The sequence below is a fragment of the Homo sapiens genome, chromosome 18 (assembly GCF_000001405.40).
Source record: "Homo sapiens chromosome 18, GRCh38.p14 Primary Assembly".
Taxonomy (NCBI): Eukaryota; Metazoa; Chordata; class Mammalia; order Primates; family Hominidae; genus Homo; species Homo sapiens.
Window position 1 is genome coordinate 61,633,988 of NC_000018.10, and position 15,901 is coordinate 61,649,888.

General features: G+C 42.5%; 1 annotated feature.

Moving 5' to 3' along the window:
• Window positions 1,924–1,973: an enhancer, noted in NCBI's record as "active region_13428". NCBI's record gives its function as "activates an Ori minimal core promoter by ATAC-STARR-seq in GM12878 lymphoblastoid cells {active_cell/tissue: GM12878}" and the evidence as "EXISTENCE:reporter gene assay evidence [ECO:0000049][PMID:35858748]".

The following is a 15,901-nucleotide window of genomic DNA, read 5'->3' on the forward strand; positions in this document are numbered from 1 at the left end:
CATTGTGACAAAATATAGACACATATAAATGAGAGACATTTAATGGAAGAGTCCATGAGAGAGCTCAGGAACCAGACAGCCTGGATTCAAATACTGACTCTGCCAGTTCCCCTGGGTGAGTTACATATTCTCAGCCTTACTTTCCTTGTCTGTAAAATGGGAGAGAGAGTTTATAGGGTGCTTGTGACAAACAGGCAAAATAATACATACAAAATATATAGAACAGTGCCCTGCACATAGTAAAAACATGATAGTGTTCTCTGTTCATGTGTAATTACAATAATGTAATTACGATATAAATCTGACTCTCATACAGCTCTCAGTAAATATGGACTAAGTGCTGTGCTAAGGATTAAAAATTCAATATTAAGACAGACACAGTCCCTGCCCTTATGTGCTTATCAGAGCTGAAGATAAAGACCCTCTCTGGCTCATTGTACATAGACAAGATCAAGATGTTCTCTCTTAGGGAATTCCTCAGTTACCCAAGACTTTCTGGCTTCCCAGATGCCATTCAGGCCACCCAGTCTGAATTTCACCTCAGTTGGCATGTGTTTCTTTTGCCAACCCTATTTATTTATTTTTGAGATAGAGTCTTTCTCTGTTGCTCGGCTAGAGTGCAGTAGTATGATCATTGTTCACTACGCCATTGACCTCCTGGATTCAAGCAATTCTCCTGCCTCAGCCCCCCAAGTAGCTGGGACTGCAGGAGCATTCCACCATGTCCAGCTAATATTTTATTTTTTTGTAGAGATGGGTCTCACTGTGTTACCCAGGCTGGTCTTGAACTCCTGAGCTCAAGCAACGCTCCTGCCTCAGCCTCCCGAAGTGCTGGGATTACAGGCACAAGCCACCATGCCTGGCCTGCCAACCCTATTTAATCAATCGGCATTCTAGCTATTCACAACTGTTCATACATCCAGTCTTTGGTTCTGTTGGGGCTCAAAAAAACATTACCCCAAAGTATGGTGCTTTGGCACGCTGAGTACTTTGAACTAAAGGAGGAGATTGGAAGGCCTCAGACGTGGCCTCAGAAGCAGTCTCTCCTCTGATCTTCTCCTGTCTTCTTTCTCCCCCTGAAGCAAATCATAGAAACCAAAATCCCCCTTCTCCAAGGTGGGTTCTTGTTCCCTGAACATTGCTGTTATCCTGTTCTTTTTTCAGGGTGCCCAGATTTCATATTGTTCAAACACACATGCTCTATAATTTGTGCAGTTAACGCAATCATCACGGAGTCATGAGGCAACATACATCCTCCTCAGCTTATAAAATGACAGGATTAAGAGATTAAAATAAAGACAGGCATGGGAAATCACAAGGGTATTGATTGGGGAAGTGACAAGTGTCCATGAAATCTTCACGATTTATGTTCAGAGATTGCAGTAAAGACAGGCATAAGAAATTATAAAAGTATTAATTTGGGGAACTAATAAATGTCCATGAAATCTTCACAATCCACGTTCTTCTGCCATGGCTTCAGCCGGTCCCTCCGTTCGGGGTCCCTGACTTCCCGCAACAGTGGGTCATAAAGCTAAGATCCCTCTTCCCCAAAGCAAGCCATAAAGTCTGAAAAGGTCACTCTTTCCCTTCTTCCCTTTCTCTTTCCAGAAAGATTCTGCCCCATACGGGGGAGAAAGCCTACATAGAGAGGCCAAAAAGAGTCTGGACATACCTGGCTGGGTCCCCCTGCCTCGGTCTATCGCCATTAGATCACACCCCTTGTCCACTCACATTTTGACATAGTTGTCCACTCTTCATGGAACGTAAGCATACAAATAGATGGTTTTCTCTGGGTCTTTGGGTCTTCATTTGTGAAGGCTCTTGCGCTATGTAAAACTTTGATTCAAATAATTTGTTACACTTTCCTCTTGTTAACCTGTCTTTTCCTATAGGAGTGTCAGCTGTGCCCCTTATGATGGGTAAGAAAATGTATCACACCTTTCCACCCCTAGTTTTCTCCAGGTGTGTGGGCAGCCCTGGGGCTGCGTTCTTCCATCAAGAAAACACAAGGGGGCGGTAGTGGCACTTGGGCTTGACGGTGGTGGGACTTAAAATTGAGTCCTAGAAGAGAAAAATAAAAATGATAGAAGGCAAAGATGGAAGAAGAGAAGGAGCAAAGATGAAAGAAGAGAAGGAGCAAGGAAAAGAAGTGTGGTGTGAAAAGAGCCAAGAACACATTTTAATGTTTTTCCCAGAGCCGTACTCCCTCCCCAGCGTGAAACAGTGCAAAGCATGGAATTAATCCACTCCAGTGCATTGTGGGGAAGAAGGTTTGAAGTGAAGGGAGCAGGGAAAGGCCCTTGCAGGCTGAAGCCCTGTAGAAGAGGGCTGGGCTAAGCAGCCTCTGGGGAAGGGGGGCACTTAGGGCCCAGACCAGCTGGCCTGCTGTTTCTTTCCACAGGCCCCAGGGTGCAACCAGCTTCTCTCACCTTAAGAGATTTCCCTGGCTTCTGAGCCAGCTGTCCCCAGCTACCACGCCCCACCCAGCCCCAGGCAAACACACGGTACATTTTCTTCTCTGAGATTTACTACCAGGAAACAGATTAAAAGGCAACAAAAATAAGCAGAGGGTGAATTACCCAGGTTAAAGGCAATCTTGTGCAGCTCCTGTGGACAGACCTCTAGTTCTTATTTTCTTTTAAAAACTAGATTGGATTGAATGCTTTGTCTTTTTTCTGAGAGAGCTAAGGTGACCAAATGTCCAGGTTTGCCCAGGTGTGAGGAGATTCCTGGAATTCAGGACTTTGAGTGCTAACCCTGGGAGAGTCCTGGTCAACTGGGAAGAGTTGGTCATCGACAGAGAGCTCAAACAGGCCCCTCCTCACCTCCAGACCAAGCTTCTGAATGAAGCTTTGCGGAAATCTCTACCAGTCAGGGCTGAACCAAGCATGGGAGTTCCTATTGGTCTCAAGTGGGCAATTTTCATCTTCAAGACCTTTACCAGGGAACCACTGGGTAGGGGCTCCAGTCTCCCCAGATGCCACACGATGTGCATTCCCCTGTGCCTGTTTCCTTACCAAAGCAGGAAGAAGTAGGATGGGATTTCTGTCTGGGAGCTCCTCTGGCCATTTTTTAGGGAGTGGTTACTTTTCTCCAGATCAGGGGACTCTCCCGTCCCCCGCTCAAAAGCATTTTTATTTTATAAACAAAGTTAAGCAGAGTTCCTTGCTGCAGGCCCTCCACTATGGCAGTGTATGAACACCATGCATTTTCTAGAGGAGCAGACTGGTTGCAGCACCTCCCAAACTATTCAATCACTGAATTTCCTCCCTTTTCTTTAAGAAACCTGCGTTCTGAAGAGCACACATGCTCCTGGAACCTTTGTTTGATCCCACTTAAGCAGCTTTGGGACCTCCCCTAGTGCTACCCAGTGCTGTTTTCATAAAAGAATCAAGCAGAGGACTGAGGGCTTTTCACTGAGATGGACCCAGCGCCACTGGCCGTGCCAAGCGTGCGCAGCAGGTGTGCGTGTGTGTGCGCTTGCTGGCAGGCGGCCCTCTGCAGGCAGTTCTTTGCACCTCAAGCCAGGTTGCATATGCCATCTCTGCTGGCTTGGGGAGAGCTATTTAAAGTCTCTCTAAAGGCCAGTAAGCCTGCATGACTTCTCACACTTCCTAAAAATGCAGGGTCCGAATGGTGCAAATTCCAGCCAATACAGCTCTTGGGTCATCCCCTTGTGTGCCAGCATATGTAGGACTCACATCAAGTTACTGTAAACAGATGGCATGTTTGTTACAGTCTTGCTTAAATGTACCAGTATATATGCACATTTTGTTTGCTAGTAGCTTGGAAGACTTGAGTTGATTAATTAAAAGCAACACATACTTAATAGTTGTGTTTTTTTCAAATGATACATTTGGTTTTTGTAATTTTTTTAAATGGAAAAAAAAAAACCCAACAAGGCCTGATTTATATACTGAAAAGAGGTTCTTTCCCAGTAAATTAGGAAAAGTAGTTTGCATTCCTGAACTTATTTATTTTCCCCTGTAGCTAATGTTGCTTGTTATTCTAAACTGAGTGGGGATGCTAAGAAAGAAAAAGCATTGCCCTCCTGTAGAGCATGTGTCACCTGTAAATTTCCATGAGACAGTGGTGCCTCTAATCTCTGAATTCAATTCCACCAGAGCAAATTGACTTTCACCGAGGTGACTTTGAAGCCAAGTCATTTTGCAGGTTCAAGAAGTAAACTCTGCCAGCCACACCACTGAGCCCACTGGCCAGGGTGCCGCCTGCAAAGCCCCACCTTCCACCACACCCTCCCTTCAGTACTGGTTCCACTGAGCTAGTCACCAAAACAAAACAAGTTGTTTAATTAAAAGATTTCCAGCTCCTTATTTCCCAAGTGCAACAGAATGGGAAAGTGTCCCTGCTGTAATGTAAATAATGGAAATCAGTCTTCTACACATCCTGGTGAGGGAAATTTCTCGTAGAAGAGTTGCCAGCCTTTCCAATACAGCACTTTGGGCTGAAACTCACACATATGTGCTATTGAAGTTGAATTCTGGCAAGTGCTATTCCTGGTATTTATTTGAAAGAAGCCAAGTACTTAAATGGAGTTAAAACAAAACGGGCTTTTTACTCTCTTCCCTGCAACCTGCAACCCTTGGCTTCCTCTTCTCTGAGTTTTGTTTGGATTTTTAAAAATTGACTACACCCCTTAAGAAATACCCCCCTCCGGAGTCAACTGGTCTCCAGTTGGCACTGGAAATGCTGAAATATCAAAAAGATGGTTGAAACTGTCTAAAGGGCAGCTTCCTGAGAAAAAATTAACCTTCCTTGGATTCCTCTCCAGGTTTTAGGCCAATTGAGGTCATCTTTGAAAGAACAACCTGTCCACCCTTTCCACCTGCAAAAGAGGGTGGTCCCTACCAACAGCTCACATGACTGACTATGGCAGCCACACTCAGGGCCTGGCACTTGCTGGGCCCAGAGAAAGTTGATTGGGGTTAAGATGGCCTGAGCGGTTTCAAGTCAGAGTGTGAGGCAGCTAGGAGGGGCCTCGGAGAAGACCAATTCCCACACTTTCCTCAAGAAGAAGCAGAGGCCTGAGGCCATGCATCTAGCCAGTTGTGGGAAGGGGAGGAAAGGGGATGCTTACACCTGTCAATTCATCTTTGGACCACCAAACCTTCCCCACCTCCACGTCAGCCAAGCTTGGGTCTCTTTCATGGAGCCAGGGAGGGGCAGTGGGAAGGAGACCTAAGGGCTAAAAAGACAAACTGGTCTTCCAAATATCAACCTGCCGTGTGGGATGAGGAGAGGCAGAAACAGGCATGATTGTAGGCTTGAGGAATGTGTTTTCCCTGCCTTCTCACCTTCCTTCTCATTTTATTTTTCCTTTTGGACTTCATGTGCAAACGTTCAAATTAATCATACTCCTTGGATCGTGGTCCTTTGTCATCTTGGTCTTCTCAATGCCTCCTCTTGCTTAGTTTTATTTATTTTTAATTTATTATTATTTTGCTTAAGCATACTCTGAGATATTTTTAATTATATATATATTTTATATATATATAATATATATATAATGAGACGGGGTCTCACTCTGTCACCCAGGCTGAAGTAGTGGTACAATTATAGCTCATTGCAGCCTCAAACTCCTGGACTCAAGCAATGCTCCTCTCTCAGCCTCCCAAAGTGCTGAGATTATAGGTGTGAGCCACCGTGTCTGGCTGCTTTATTTTGTTAATGGAAAAATCAAACCCTGTAAAATATTTTAACAAGGTTTATTCTGATCCAGTCTGAGTGACCATAGCCTAGGGAAACACAGTCTCAAGGAGTCCTGAGAAAGTGTGCCCAAGGTGGTTAGATTACAGTTTGGTTTTGTACATTTCAGGGAGGCAGGAGTTACAGGCAAAGACATAAATCAATATAGGGAAGGTACCCATTGGTTTTGCCCCAAAAGGCAGGATATCTCAAAGCAGGGGGCTTACAAGTCATAGGTGAATTCTGATATTCAGATATCCTTTAATTGGCAATCAGTTAAAGGAACAAAAGTTTGTCTAAAAACTTGGAGTTAACAGAAAGGGATGTTTAAGTTAAAATAATGATGTCAGAGCCAGCCACAATATGACCTGTTTAGCAACACCAGTGGCCTTCGGGCATAATTTAACTTGTGCCTTGCCTGGTCCTAGGTCTTGTTTATGATTTGGTATCTTACAGCCACAAAGAGTCTGTTTTTATCAGCCTTATGATCTCTATTCTAACATTAATGCTGGTTGGTTGTTGTGCCTAAACTCAAAAAGGGATAATGAGGCGTGCCCAAGCTCCCTTTCCATCATGGCTGGGAACTCAGTTTTTGAGGATTCTCTGGAGTCCCCTTGGCCAAGAGGGGGTAGGTTCAGTTGTTGGGGGGCTTAGGATTATATTTTTAGTTTACAGTTTATTTTTTTAAGTCTCCAAATACTACTTACTTCACTAGAGGCAACCATTCTAATCTGTTTAATGTGTATCTTTTTATTTTTATGTGTTCTTGCAAAATAATATTATTGCATGATATCTATGGATATATATATATACACACACACATATATGTAGCATATACATGCTAGAAATAAAATATTTAAAATATAAAATAAAATATTGATGCTATAAATTAAAAGTTTGAGCTCTTTATTTTCCAAAAATTATTGACACCCAAGAAGTTAAAAAAAATAGTATAGAGAAGCACATGAAAAAAAGCTCAGCATCAGTAGTCATTAGATAATGCAAACTGAAACCACATGAGATACCACTTCATACCCACGACAATGGCCATTATCTAAAAAAAAAAGAAGTGTTGACAAGGATGTGGAGAAATTGGAAACCTCATACATTCCTGGTGGGGATATAATCACCTTGAGCTCCTTATCCCAAAGCCTCTAGGTCCACCTGTGGCTGAGATCAGCCACTAAGTATCAGCTGGTTCCCCAAGGCATCTTTGGACTAGATTTGCAGGTGCCACCTTCAACCAAGCCAGTGGTTTCCCTCCTGCCCACATGCCTGGGGTCTAGTAAGTACTAAAACCAACTCAGGAAATTATACATTGCTGGTGGAGGTATAGCCATTATCACTGCGGAAAAACAGTTTGATGGTTCCTCAAGAAGTTAAACATAGAATTGTCATATGATCAAGCAGCTCTACTCCCAGGTATATACCCAAAAGAATTGAAAAGAGGGACTCAAATAGATACTTGTACGCCAATGTTCATATCAGCATTCTTCACAATAGACAAAAGGTTGGAACATCCAAGCATTCATCAACTGATGAATGTTTTTTAAAAGTGTGGTATATAGTTAAATATTAATATTTTATATTTTAAAATAAATGTGGATATTATTCATCCATAAAAAGGAATGAAATTCCAATCCATGCTACAACATGGGTGAACTCTGAAGACATTATGCCAAACGAAATAAGCTGGATTAAAAAGGACAAATATTGCATGATTTCACTTATCTGAAGTACCTAGAAGAGTCAAGGTCACAGAGACAAAAAGTAGAATAGTGGTTACAGGGGGCTAGAGGATGGAGAACAGGGAATTACTGTCTAATGGGTACAGAGGCTTAGTTTGGGATGATGAAAACATTCTAGAAATGAATGGTGGTGGTTGTAGCACAATGTGAATATAATTAATACCACTGAACTGAACAGGTAAAAATGTTTAAAATGGTAAGTTCTATGTTATGCATATTTTACCACATACAAAAAAAATCTAGAAAAATATCACACGTAGAGGTCCCCTACAAGCCAGGTCCCCTACAATCCAGGTCCCCTGGTTTCCTCCAGTGTTACATAACTACTTTTTTAATACCAAAATCAGGAAATTGACATTAGCATAAAACAGTTACCTGGACTATGGATCTTAGCCAGGTTTTATCAGCTCTGTGCATGCGCTCACTTTTTTATGTGTGTTTATATCTTGATGTATACTTCTATGACACTTTATCACATATACAAATTTGTATAACTGACACTTCAATCAAGATATATGTCTATATTTTTAATTTATCTAAAAGTTATTGTGTTATACATCTCATTCTTTTTCTTGCTTGCTAAAAAAAAAACCTAACCACTAAGCCGGAAGTGGAGGCACATGCCTGTAATCCCAGCGACTCAGAAGGCTGAGGCAGGAGAATCGCTTGAACCCGGGAGGCAGAGGTTGCAGTGAGCCGAGATAGTGCCATTGCACTCCAGCCTGGGCAACAAGAGCAAAGCTCCGTCTCAAAACAAACAAAACAAACAAACAGACAAAAAACCTAATCACTATACTCTTAAGATCTATGTTCTTAGGTATGTACCTAATTCATTGCATAATGTGATCATGTAGCATCACATCTAACTCTCATCTCTCCCAGTAGACATCTAAGTTGCCTCAAATTCCCTACCACAAAAAATAATAAGGTTGCAATAAACATCCTCGGGCAAGTGTCATGATGGTGCTGTGTGAGAATTTCTCTGGGTACCTTCCTAGACGCTGAATTGCTGGGACATTACATTTTTCATTTAATCAAGGTCTGCCAGGTTGCTATCCAAAAAATGGTGGCTCCAGTCTACACTCCTGCCCACTAGCAGAACATGAGTGTTTCTCTGTCCTCACACTCTAACCAACAATTGGCATTAACAGCTTTCTAGTTTTTGCAACCCCTATAGAGGAAAGTGTCGTTTTAATTTGCATTCCTCTGATTGCTAGTGGTTTTGATTATCTTGATGGGTTTAGGACATGCTAGCCCAAAATATGGCGCCTTGGCATTTGAGAAAACAGCAGAAGCAGGAAGGTCACTCTTAGCTTCCACTCATGCTACTCCCATGAAGCAAGCCATAAAACTTTCATTCCAGAGTTCTCCTCCCATTTCTCCCTGAGTAAAGGAACATCCTTAACTCTAAAGATACAGAGAAGAATCTGAACAAACAGGCCTTGCTAAATTCCCCCCAACTTAGTAACATTAGATTATACCCCCTTTGTCCACACTCATACTTCTCCACAACTACCCACTTCTTCATGAAACTTAGCCTAAAAATACATAGGTTTCCTTGCTTCTTTATGTCCCCATGTCACATAAAACTTATATTAAATGTGTATGTTTTTCTCTTGTTAATCTATCTTTTGTTATAGGGATCTTAGCCATGAACCTAGCCATGGGTGAGTAAAGAAAGCTGTCCTTCCCTACAATATGTCCTCGCTGTTCATAAGCTTATTAGCTTTTTGAAATCCTTCCTCTGTGTCATGAGTTGAATTTTGTTCCCCCAAAAAAGATATGTTGAAGTCCTAATCCCCAGTACTTCAGAATGTGACCTTATTTTGAAATAGGGTCTTTAGAGAGGTCACCAAGTTACAATGAAGTCATTAAGGTGGGCTCTTAATTCAATAAGACTGGTATTCTCATAAAAAGGGGAAATTTGCATACAGAGACAGACATGTACAGAGGGAAGATGATGTGAAGACACCCAGGAAGAATGAATCATGCCATGTTGGAGTGATGCTGCCACAAGCCCAGGAACGTCTGGGGCTACCAGAAACTGGAACAGGCAAGGAAGTGTCCTTCCTCTACAGGTGTCAGAGGGAGCATGGCCCCACTGATGGTGATTTCTGACAGCTGGCCTCCTGAACTATGAGACAATGAAGTTCTTTTGTTCCAAGCTACCCACTTTGTGGCACTTTGTTACAGCAGCCCTGGGAAGCTAATACACTGGGAACTGCATGTCCATAGCATCTGCCTGGTTTTCAGTGAGGCTCCTTCCTTTTCCTATGAATATTCAAAAGTTCCTTGTCTGCTCCAGATTCACTTTCACTTTTTATTCCTTTCTCCCTCCTTTCCATCATCCCACCTGCTTCCCTGAGCTACTTTGAGAGTAGAATTTCATGTAGAAGGGAAGACTCACTTAGCTAGAGGTGAGACAGAGGTAGGGAGCTGGGATATATTTAGGCATAGGAGGTTTATGATGCCTCCAAACAGAAGTAGGGAAGCAGTCCCGGGTTGTGGGATCAACCTAGAGACAAGGAGAATTCTCTGTGCTTCCCTAATCACCTTGAGCTCCTTATCCCAAAGCCTCTAGGTCCGCCTGTGGCTGAGATCAGCCAGTAAGTATCAGCTGGCTCCCCACGGCATCTTTGGACTAGGTTTACAGGTGCTACCTTCAACCAAGCCAGTGGTTTTCCTCCTGCCCACACGTGGGGTCTAGTAAGTACCAAAACCAACTCAGGAAATCATGCAGCAGGCTGCTTTAGGTCTTTTGAGACTCTGTCTTCTGATTTGGTTTCGTTGAGCCCATCCCAATATTCAAGGAGGAAGGCCATGGAGTATTCCAAAGGTCTTTGCCTTAAAAAAGGTCCTTTTGTTGCCACAACAAGATGACATTGTAAGGAAAGGCTGAGACCCGCTGGAGGAAGACGTGTGGGCAGGGCCAGGGCTGCAGATGCAGCCAGTGAAGAGCCTATTTCTGCCCAGGATGTGGTTTCTAAAATGAGCCAGTTTCATCCATCATTAATTTTTACTTCCCTAAGTTATGCCATCTCACTGCTCTTGCATGGTAACTTTCTTGAGAGGCCACTTATACTTCTCCAGAGGCCCCAAACATGCAGCACCTGGATTTTTCCACAATGTTTGCAAACACTCACCAGACGAGACAAGTCCTCCCCTAAAAGCAAGAAGCTCAATGCCAACTTCATGCAAAAAAAAGAAAAAAAGAAAACCAACAAGAACACTCCATCAATATACTCTTTGCACACCAAGAGATTAAGATAAATTTTCTAAGCTCTCTCTCTTGAAAAAGATCAACTGCTGTGATAGAATATTCAGAGAGCTATTGCCAAATTGAAGAGCTCAATCTAGTGTAAATGGTTTGGTAAACAAACTGCCCTTTAAAAGATGTCATCCAACAATTTAACAATTGTTAAATTGCACACCAATATGGATACAAAGGGAATGATCAGGTAAATTATGGTACATCTATTCAATAAGTATTATGTACCTATTAAGAAGAATGAAATACCACTAGAAATCTGGGTCTTAAAAATGCTGTGATACATTGTTAAATGAAAAAACCAAATTGCAGAATAATATATACATATGGACTCATTCCATTAATACAAAACAACTTTATGAAGACAGACAAATAGATAAACAGGTGATAAAGCGATCATACATGAGTAGTAAGATGGAATTATGCATACCAACATATTAAGCAATGGGATTATCTGTTTTCTCATCTTATTTTGTAGTATAGAACTTTTCTAAAAACAACCTGTTTTAGGCTCCTCAGATCATCACATAACCTCACAGATAACGGCACAAACTCTTAAAGGTCATGGTCTAGGCCAGTAGTCTCTACACTTCCCACATCTAGCTCAGTGGCTGGCACCACAGGGAGGTTCAATAAATGCTGTTGGAGAGGATGGGACTCCACACTTCTCCACTCCTAGTGCAGAGGATAATGTGACTTTATCATGATTCAAGTTCGGCTTGAGTTATACTCTCGGAGCTAAGCTAGAGAATAGTTTAGAGACAGCAAAAGTGTAAAAGGGTGAAAACTCCCACAGACTTGGCTCACAAGAATGCAGGCCTGTCTACATGCCTGCCCTACAGGTCTGACATCCCAATTGTGTGCCTTATTCTTCGGTCTTATGTCATATTTTCAAAAGATAACATTTAATCAATGTCTTACTATATGCTATTATTACAAAGTCTTTGTGTATATCAACTTTGAATCTTCATTATAGCCCTATAAGCTACGTATAAAGTAGAAGCCTCATTCCACAATTATGGAAGTACTTGTGTGCTTAAGTAACCTCTCCAAGATCACACAACAAGTAGGACCTCTTAGACAGTGTTCCTCAAACTGTATGTGCAATCAAGTCACTTAGGCATCTTGTTTTATTAAAATCCCAATTCTAGCTCAGGAAGTCTGGGGCTGGGCTTAAGGTTCTGCATTTCTTTATTTTCTTTACATTTTTTCTCTTTTCCACATAACTGTTGTTCAGAAGGAAAATTCTGCATTTCTAACAAGCTCCCAGGGGATGCCAATGCTGCTGGTCCCACAGAGCACACTTGAGTCACAAAACTCTAGGACTCAGCCCACCTTAGTTATATCTTCAGAACCAAGATGCAAGACCAGCTCTGCCAATAACCCCCTGCCTGCCTATGTACTCCAAGAACATAGATTAACCTCTTTGTTTACAAGGAAAGATTAGGAGATGATAGTCTCTCTGGATATTGTCCATCTCTATTGTTTAATAACTATTGCAAAATTATAATAGAAAAAATGCCAGCACTGCTATGCTGGGCCACACTGAGTGCCCAGACCCTAAGTCACATGCATCCAATAAATACTCATTGGCGTTCTAAACTAGGCAGTGGGAGTTATAAGAGTTAAGAAGACAATCCTTGTCCGCATGGAGATTACAGTATTCTGTGGAATAAAGGATGTAGCCCTACAGTGTCATGCTCTCTATTGCAGAGAAAGAACAGGGTACACAATAGAGATGGCCTCCCATGGAAAGTTACATGTGGGCTGAGATGAGATGAGCTAGCCCAGTGAAGGTGGAGGGGGAAGACAGGCAGGCAGAAGAAACAGCAGGAGGGAAGTCCCAGAAGTGAGTGGGGTATTAAAGGTTATTGGAAGAAGTTAATTGTGGTTGGCCCTCAGATTGAAGGTGAAGGAGTGGGGAAAATAGTTATGAGGCTACAGCAGGACATAGCTCACAATGTATCTCAAAGACCCAGCTTCTTAACAAGACCAGTAGTCTACAGATGATGCAAAACCTTTGAGGAGCTTTAAGAAGGAAACAGATAGGAGAGGATTTACATTTTTAGAGAGTTAAAGGGTATAGAATAAAATGTGGGGAGGGTTGGGAGGCCCAAGGTTGAACACAGGGCACCAATTAGAAGTCTGTTGCCATGATCTATGTTTAAAAAAAAATCACAGTGAACTTAACTTGGATTGCAGCAGTGGAGTTGCAGAGAAAGAGAAAAATTAGAGAGACATTAGAAGAAAGAGAACTAAGTGAACAAATGAAGGATGAGAAGCTATGAGTGAGAAAAAGGCAGTGCTAAAAGATAATTTTCCAAAAAAAGGTAAAATTATGACTCATAAGGATATAAAATGAACACATGTTAAAGATTTTCTTTTACTCATAAAGAAGGTGCCAGGCAGATGTTATAACTGGATCAAGGGAGAAATTGAAAAACAGACACATTTATAGATCAGGAATATTGAAATGAATGTGCAGATGGAGGTAAAACTGGTTTCTTCCACAGTGGGGGAGAACTCAGTTGAATCTCTACAAGATAGGACAGAATTTGCACAGCTATAGCTAAAAATGATTTTGCATCCCATCAATTATGTATGGTTTACAGAGTTGTACAATAGCTCCCATAGAGTCACATAACTCAGAGGGCTGTCTTTAGACAATGCATAGTTTTCCCCTGAAGCCCACATTTTTCCTTGCAGCAGGTTAACTCCAAGATGCCTGACTTGGACACCAATGTGGATGTTGTGACATTCACTCTACAGGGAATGTAGGGAGAGAGCGCTGAGGAGCTGAGGGAGAAACAAGGATGATTAATCGACTTGGTCATATTTCGGTAGTGAACACTTCCACCTGATAGGGGGTTGGTTCTGTTATGATTTCAAGGATACAGTGGATCAGACTCAATGGCTTCAATTTTGGAGAGGCATTGCTTTAAAAGCCTCTCCCTACCGTCAGACACATTTGATATTTATTGAGCACCATTTCTACCGAGGGTTCTGGACATGGCACTATGGTACATTCCCAACAGATCTTGCCTGAAAGAAACTTCCAGGGTGGCTGTTGCAAATTTGGAATGCATTTTTCATTAGAAAAAAAATGTCACAAATGTGATCATTTTCCCAACCTAACAAAGCTCTTTTTAAATATTCCTCAATATAGGGACAGGTTTTCAAACCAAAAGTTGGAAAACATGAAGTATAAATGAATCTTCCATTTATCAAATTATAGAAAAAGATATACAAAATTTTTTAAGTTAAGTTAGTTTTATGACTTCCATGTATCAAAAATAATTAAATTGATTGAAGCTTAAGGCTGTGGTGGACATTTCAAATCATATAGCTGCTTAGATGGAGAATGCCATTTTAATAGTATATATTGATTTTTTTTTTTTACTAAGTAAAGCTATATGATGTATTAGTAACTACATATAATTAGAAAATAGGAATACAAGAAGGGAGTGGGAATTGTTTATGCACATTCTGGAAGAAATTCTGGGTTTCTCAGTCTCTGCACCTCTCCATTCCTCACAGCAAGTGGCATCTGACCCTTACCGGCAAGCCCAGCCCCGCCCTCAGTCAAGGAGACTTAAATAGAGGCGTTTGGGTCCTTCTAGGTTACCATAAGTTCTTTTTTGAGACAAGATCTTGCTCTGTCACCACACCTGGAGTGCAGTGGCACTATCATAGCTCACTGCAGCTTCCTGGGTTCAAGTGATCCTACCACCTCAGCCTCCCAAGTAGCTGGGACTACAGGCAAGAGTCACCAAGCCTGGCTCATTTTTAAGTTTTTTGTTTGTTTGTTTGTTTTGTTTTTTACATAGAAGTGGGGTGTCACGCTGGGCACAGTGGCTCACGCCTGTAATCCCAGCACTTTGGGAGGCCAAGGTGGGCGGATCACGAGGTCAGGAGATCGAGACCATCCTGGCTAACACGGTGAAACCCCATCTCTATTAAAAATACAAAAAATTAGCCGGGCGTGGTGGCAGGCACCTGTAGTCCCAGCTACTCGGGAGGCTGAGGCAGGAGAATGGCGTGAACCCCAGAGGCGGAGCTTGCAGTGAGCCGAGATTGCTCCACTGCATTCCAGCCTGGGCGACAGAGTGAGACTCCGTCTCAAAAAAAAAAAAAAAATTAAAAAAAAAAAAGAAGTGGGGTCTCACTATGTTGCCCAGGCTGATCTCAAACTCCTGGGGTCAAGCAGTCCTCCTGCCTCTGCCCACCAAAGTGGTGGGGTTACAGGTGTGAGCCACTACACCCGGCCACCATAAGTTCTGAATCCTGAATCCTGCCACATAAGCCTGGGCTGCAGAGGAACTGGAGTTCAAGGTCTGTAAACAAGACTTGCCTTGCTCTTGCCAGTCTCCACGTTTCAGCTCAACCCCAGAGATCAGGGCCCTGCTCCCTGCTGATGCACTTCCCTGAAATCCACAGCCAATCCTGCTGGACTTTGAGTATTGCCTCCCCCATCCTCCTCTGTCATGCTCTGCCTGCCTGTTGGAACATCCTGACCCCAGGGGTGAGGCCTATCCACCCACCCCATGCTGAGTGCCTGCCAGGACTCTGGTCAACATTCTTTGTATCCTTGAGTTGCTCTGTCCTGGACAGCACACCAAATCTCAGCCCAACAGCAGCCGCTGGGCTGCCACCACACAGCAATGTCACTCTAGTGGCCATCTGCTAAAGATTGGTTCTGTCCAACTGCTTCTCTGCCCACAGTTCACTTTGTCATGTCTGCCTTCACTCTGAAAATCCAGTTAATAGCAATATTGTCTAAATTTACATTAAAATCAAAGTCTGCCTTTTTTTTTTCCATAGACTCATATACTATGGAAACATCAAGGGACACTGAAAGTCTTTGGTTCAAGTTTGCTTATTCTTTGCCCAAGAGATTTGTTAAGTTTGACTTTCCACAGTTTATGTTATATAAAAAATGCATTGTTTTGTTTTATAAAAATAATTTTAAGGCTAGGCATGGTGGCTCATGCCTGTAATCTCAGCACTTTGGGAGGCCGAGGTGAGCGGTCAGGAGTTCGAGACCAGCCTGGCCAACATGGTGAAACCCTGTCTCTACTAAAATACAAAAATTAGTGGGGTATGCTGGCAGGTGCCTGTAATCCTAGCTGCTCGGGAAGCTGAGGCAGGAGAATCGCCTGAACCTGGGAGGAGGAGGTTG